At 35.9% G+C, this 7,284-nt stretch overlaps 1 protein-coding gene across 2 annotated transcripts in view; it reads left to right on the forward strand.

Annotated features, from left to right (window-relative positions):
• PLCB1 (phospholipase C beta 1) overlaps positions 1-3,703 on the forward strand; it is a 752,635-nt gene extending 748,932 nt beyond the window's left edge. For both annotated transcript variants that reach the window (NM_182734.3, NM_015192.4), the window contains one exon: positions 425-3,703. Coding sequence is in view for 1 of the 2 variants with exons in the window: in NM_015192.4 (NP_056007.1) it covers positions 425-652 (228 nt within the window). In the remaining variant the exon portion in view is untranslated. The remainder of the gene's footprint in view (positions 1-424) is intronic.

The following is a 7,284-nucleotide window of genomic DNA, read 5'->3' on the forward strand; positions in this document are numbered from 1 at the left end:
CCCCATGCTGGTCTTAAACTCCTGACCTCAAGCAATCGCAATCAACCTGCCTCAACCTCAACCTCCCAAAGTGCTGGGATTACACGTGTGAGCCACCACGCCCAGACTCTGACACCTTTTTCAAAAGACCCGTGTGTGTGTGTGTGTGTGTGTGTGTGTGTGCATTTGTAGATACCGCTATTCATCTTATTCTGAGTCTTTAGCCTTATTGTGCCACACATAACTTGAAGTTGACTTTCAGCTACAGACAAATGATGTGTCCAACTAAACTTTGTTACATCTCCTCTATAGGTGACCAGTGAATGATATTTTAAGTTAATGTATTCATCAGCCCCTTTTGTATATCTCTTTCAGAGAGTTTCTATGGGAGTGGGTATAGAAACATAAACAACTTCAAGTCATCTCCCCTCTTGATGTCTCTCAGCTGCAGGTGGAGCTGGAGCAAGAATACCAAGACAAATTCAAAAGACTGCCCCTCGAGATTTTGGAATTCGTGCAGGAAGCCATGAAAGGAAAGATCAGTGAAGACAGCAATCACGGTTCTGCCCCTCTCTCCCTGTCCTCAGACCCTGGAAAAGTGAACCACAAGACTCCCTCCAGTGAGGAGCTGGGAGGAGACATCCCAGGAAAAGAATTTGATACTCCTCTGTGAATGCTCCTGCCAGGCCTTCAGAAATTGCATGGCCACTCCAGCGTCATCGGACTCTCTCTTATTACAAAGATCACTGCCCAGGACCATCTTCCCGAGAAGCATCCCTTAGCCTAAAATCCACACCAAAGGGAGAGTTCCAGAGGAATCCATGAAGAATTCCCATGCCCAGGCTCCATGTGTCATGTGGAAACCTCCACAGGTCTGCTAGTGAAGAATGCATGTATGTGAGATTTTTGTTTTCTTTCCAATAGCAAATTCAAAGCAAGCAACTTGCAGGCTCCATGGAACTTTTAATGAAGGACAGTGTCTTCTTTGAAGAAAATCAAGCTCGTGTTTTTATTCGAAGCTCTGGTGTAAAATATTTCAAAGTCATAGAAATAGTTTGAGAAATGCATAGCATTATTTAACACTATTGAACAGCCGACTTTGAGCATTGTTTCTTCTAACTGCCCCTCAACTACCATTATCTTCAAGTCAACATGCATATTACATTTTCATCCTTTGCTTTGCAAGCACTGGTGGCTTGCAGTTTGCTAATTTATTTATCATAGAGTCATCAATGTATTTGTTGCTGACATGGTTTTATTAGATACTGTAGTGATTCAAATAAGTTTTCTATTTGAAAAAAAAAATCACTTGATTGTATCCTTGCCCAGTGAAGCCATCCTAAGACTTAGCAATATGGATTGTACATTTGGCTGCATGAGCAAGTCGGCCGCACACTTCCAGACAGTGTGCTGTTTGAATTGACTATTTGCACTCAAAGTCTGGGTATTCATTGGTTATTGGCCTGAAATGATCAAATAACTACAAATGATCTGTTGAATAAAAATAGTTGAGCTGATATATGTTAAGCAGATATTCAATCAGAATGAACAGGTTCCGGTGGTTATTTTGCCGTTTGACATTTTTTATGGTTCATTTATTTTTAATATAGAGAGGAAGATTGAATATTTATCTAGAGAATACAAAGACCCACATGTAAATGATAGGTATTATCTCCATGTATATATGTACCCACTTAGTCATGTAAGTGCATATACACATACACACACATGAGTGTAGACATGTGTTTATTAATTGACAATGACCCAAATCTCTTCCACAAGACTTAAAACCAAATTCAGGGACAAATGGATAGAGAAGAAAAGGGTCAAACATCGAGATTACATGGATGTTAAATTATATGGAGACGCTAAGAAATAATTGATGGAGCCATTGATGCAAACCGAAGTAGATTTAGAACTTATATGAATTTGATTTATATTTTGCAAGATCAAAAATTAGATGTTAAGTATCAGATTTTAAGCTTGTTTTAATGGTCAAAAAATTAGGACAGAAATAATATGGACATTTATTAGTATCTTCCATAATTTTTAAGTCTGACACATTTCTATTTTATTCTAACATAAAAAAACTTCCATTATATATTTACTAAGTATATTTAATTCACTTAACTCTGTCTTTATAAGTTCCTATTTTAGATGGAATAAGAGAAACAAATTATATCAAGGTAAAACTGATCAAAAGCATAATTGAAAGTTCTGAAAAAAGAAAAATAATAATATGTAGAAAAATGTAACTTAGAGAGTAACACATGAACATTGAAGTTAAAACCCAGAAGCCAGATGCTCACAGTTTTATTTTACTTTAAAATAAACCTGTCTGACTGTAGCTTTGTGAAATATCTTAAAACGCAAAAACCAATTGTGTCCTGAAAATTGTTTCAAGAATTTAATATTTTTATGAAAATTATTTTATTTAACTTTAAGCAATAACTAGAGATTACAATTAAATTTTAATCAAAATGAAGGCTTAGTTCAAACATAAGGAAACAGTGTTTGATTAAAAAAAACACATCTAGTAAGACGTAAGGGGAAAATCACATCCTCTTTGGAGATGATTATATTTTGATCTGAAGGGTTTGGGGTGTTCATTAGACACTTAATAAAACTTAACTTCCAATGAAAAAGAAATCTTTTGTAAATCATTCTACTTTTGCACTTTGAAAGAAAGGCGTTAATCATAAAGAAGCAAGAATGGTCAAAATCGAATGCTGCATTTTTATAAACAAAATTACAGACTGTCTGAAATTGAAGAAGAATGAACTAATAATAGCATTCATAACCAAACACAATGATGATTATTGCAGAACATTGTATCACATTTTAGTCCAGAGATAGAATAAAGTTGAATAACCTTGACTTACACAAAACTGTTTTGGTAGTTGGATTTCATTATCTTAGTGAATTTAGTCATTTTACAATATGTTTGTATTTGGCCATTTACTGTAATCACATTTTTATATCTGTACAATGACACTTTTTGCAGTTGTGGGGTAGTGTGTAACACTGTCCATCTTGCATCATTGAAACTACTACAATGATACTATCATTTAATAATATTAATATTACTTGAAATAGACTAAGATAAAGAAAAGGGGTCTGTATGATGTGCAGTTTTGTGCCTTTATGTATTTGCCTTGTTCTTTGTCGAATGTGTGAAATTCCGTACTGTGGTTTTTCCTATAATAGAAAGTAGAGCTGTGTATTAAATTAGACTGTGTCTCTCTGATACCTTTACACTACTGAGAATAGCATGGTTTTGGCCATGTAAACCAATTTTCAAAGTTCTAATGACATAGCCATGTGTTTTTGGTTTTTTATATTTCATTTTAAAATTTGAGTATCACCATACATTAATTAATACTCCTGTAGTAGATAAGCTGTCATTAAGTAATTCCCAAAAAAAGGGCCATTTGCTTGCATTACTTTGAATTTAATGTTGCGCTTGTGCACTGTGTTAATATTGTTTGTGATGGATTGGACGTTGTGACTCTTGCCTTTTAAGAAGAAAAAAAAGATAGGACAAAGTATTTGAAGCTCTTAAAATGTACATATTTTGGTTCTTCTATCTCAAATTATTTAAAATGCATAATTCACATTTTTGTAATAATTCTATGCAATTTTGTGGCATGATGTTTCTTCCACTTGTAATTTTATGTGCTTTCATCACAAATCCAAAGGAAAGAATAAAAATTTCTTAACACAACCCAGCGGTTATTTCTTGGGGTCAGAGTCAACCTTCTTTTGACAGGGAAAGTGGTGGGAGCGGGCATAATGCCAGTCTTTAGGGCCATCATGCCTACCCTGACAGGGCACATCCATGCCTGTAAAGGATATTGGGATGCTGCAATGTGTGTGCCAGAGGACACAGTTGTCCTTGCTATCATTCCACCACCCTCCATCCAGGAGTGGAATTACACTTGCCATTGTTTGCGTAATGGAGACCCTCTCTTCCTTTCTCTCTTCCTTCCTTTCTCCCTGTCTTCCTTGACCAAAGTTAAGCAAGGCAAAACAGTCAAAAGTTTTTTGACATAAGTTGCAGTGACAAGAACTGACAGAGCACTTGATGTAAATTTTCTTATAAAACAGATTTTAAAAGTGTTTACAATATTGATAGGATAAGAAATGTATGTGTGAGTTTTATGTAAATGTTCCAGAGGCACCCCAAATGCAATGTATTAGGTACTTATTTCTGTGTTACAAATGGCTCTAAAATCTAGGGGCTTAAAACAATCAGAATTATCTCTTATCTCTTAGCTTCTCAAAAAAAAATGTGTGGGTACCTAGTAGGTATATATATTTATAGGGTACATGAGAGAGAGATGTTGATACAGGCATAAAATGTGTAATAATTACATTAGGGTAAATGGGGTATCCATCACCTCAAGCATTTATCCTTTCCTTGTGTTAGAAACAATCCAATTATACTCTTCTAATTATTTTTAAATGCACAATAAGTTAATTGACTGTACTCACCCTGTTGTGCTATCAAACACTAGATCTTATTCATTCTGTCTAACTACATTTTTGCTCGTATTAATCATCCTCACTCCCTCTTTTCCCCAACTACCCTCCCCAGCCTCTGGTAACCATCCTTCCACTCTCTATCTTCATGAGTTCAGCTATTTTAATTTTTATATCTTAAGAATAAGTAGGACATGTGACGTTCGTCTTTCTGTGCCTGGCTTATTTCACTTACCGTAATGACCTCTGGTTCCATCTACGTTGTTGCGAATGACAGGATCTCATTTTTAATGGCTGAATCGTACTCCATTGTATATATGTTATCATGTTTCCTTTATCCAGTCATCTGTTGATGGACACTTAGATTACTTTCAAATCTTGGCTATGATAAACAGTGCTGCAACAAACATGGTAGTGCAGATATCTCTTCAATGTACTAATTTCTTTTCTTTTGTATATGCCTAGAAATGGGATTGCTGGATCATATGGTAGCTCTACTTTTAGTTTCCCAATGAATCTCCAAAGTGTTCTCCATAGTGCTTGCACTAATTTACATTCCCACCAATAGTTTACAAGGCTTCCCTTTTCTCCTCATTCTCATCAGCATTTATTTTTCTCTGTCTTTTGGATAAAAGCCATTTTAACTGGGATAAGATGATATCTCATTGTAGTTGTTTGATTTGCATTTCTCTGATAATCAATGAGGTAGAGTATACCCGTTTGCCATTTGTATGTCATCTTTTGAAAAAATGTCTATTCAGATCTTTTGCTCATTTTTAAATTGGATGGATTTCTTTTCTAAAGAATTGTTTGAGCTACTTATATATTCTGCTTATTAATCCCTTGGGAGCTGGGAAGTCTTAAAATGTTTTCTCCCATTCTGTGGATTGTCTCTTCACTTTGTTGATTGTTTCCTTTTCTGTGTAGAAGATTTTTAATCTGTGTGATCCCACTTGTCTATTTTCCCCCCAGTTGCCTGCACTTGTGGGGTATTCCTTAAGAAATCTTTGTCCACTTCAATGTCCTGGAGAGTTTCCCCAATATTTTATCTTAGTAGTTTCATAGTTTCAGGTCTTAGATTTAAGTCTTTAGTCCATTTTGATTTGATGTTTGTATATGGTGAGAGATAGAGGTCAAGTTTTATTGTTCTGTATATGGATATACAGTTTTCCCAGCACCATTTATTGAAGAGACTGTCCTTTCTCCAACATATGTCCTTGGCACCTTTGTTCAAAATGAGCTCACTGTAGATGTAGTGATTTATTTCTGGGTTCTCTACTCTGTTCCATTGGTCAATGTGTCTGTTTCTATGCCAGCACCATGCTGTTTGGGTTACTATAGCTCTGTAGTATAATTTGAAGTCAAATAATGTGGCCTCCCCAGTTTTGTTCTTTTTGCTCATGACAGCTTTGGCTATTCTGGGCCTTTTGTGGTTCCACATAAATTTTAGGATTTTTTTTTTCTATTTCTGTGAAGAATGTCATTGGTATTTTGATAGGGATTGCACTGAATCTGTAGATTGCTTTGGGTGATATGGACATTTTAACAGTATTGATTCTTCCAATCCATGAACATGCAATATCGTTCCTTTTTCTTGTGTCCTCTTCAATTTCTTGCATCAATGTTTTGTAGTTTTTATGGTACAGATCTTTCAGTTCTTTGGTTTAAATTTATTCCTAAGTATTTTACTTGTAGCTATTATAAATGGGATTATCTTCTCGATATCTTCTTCAGATTGTTCACTGCTGGTATATAGAAATGCTATTATTTTTTGTATGTTAACTTTATATCCTGCAACTTTACTGAATTTATTTCTCAGTTCTAATAATTTTTGGTGGAGTCTTAGCTTTTTACAAATATAAGATTATATCATCTGCAAACAAGGATAATTTGATTTTTCCTTTCCAATTTGGATGCCATTTATTTCCTTCTCTTGTCTGATTGTTCTAGCTAAGACTTAAAGTACTGTGTTCAACAACAGCGGTGAAAGTGGGCATCCTTCTCTTGTTCCAGATCTTAGAGGAATGACTTACCATTTTTTTCAATTCAGTGTGATACTAGCTATAGATTTGTCATATATGGCTTTTCCTTCTGTGTCCAGTTTTGTTAGGGCTTTTATCACAAAGTGATGCTGAATTTTATCAAATGTTATCTCACAGGTTTTTTGAGTCAGGAATTCAGAGAGGGCAAAGCAGATATGGCTTGTCTCTATGATATCTGGGGCCTCAGCCAGAAGATTAGAGGTCTAGGGCTAGAATCCACTCACACATCTAGTGGTTGATGTTGTATCAAGTGGGAGCCTAGCTGGGGCTCTGGGGTGGAATACTTGCTCATGCCCTTTCTATGGAGAAGCCTGGGCCTGGGCTTTTTCACAATATGGTAGCTGGATTCCAAGGAAGAGCCTCCTGAGAGAGCCAGACAGAAACCATCAACATTTTTATAACCAAGCCTCAAAGTTACATACATCACTTATGCCAGACTCTATTCATTGGTGCTATCACAAGCCTCTTCCCAGATTCAAGGTGCAGTAACAAACATAGACCCCATCTTACCTTGGGAACACAGTTGATCATCCTGAAGAAGTACATGAGGGATGGAATGAATATATAGGCATGACCATCTTTAAAAAATATAATCTGCCACACACAGTATGCATGAAGCCGAATTTGTGTTACCTTCAAAGCTGCTCCACCTCCTTTGCTTTCTACATCAGTGAACAAAACCAGTATTACAAATCACACTCCAGCCTACACAACCTTATGGACCATTCCACCTCATAGGCTTTTTAACTACCATTTCTTTCAACTGCTTCATCCATCCTTT

The sequence above is a fragment of the Homo sapiens genome, chromosome 20 (genome assembly GCF_000001405.40).
Source record: "Homo sapiens chromosome 20, GRCh38.p14 Primary Assembly".
Classification (NCBI taxonomy): Eukaryota; Metazoa; Chordata; class Mammalia; order Primates; family Hominidae; genus Homo; species Homo sapiens.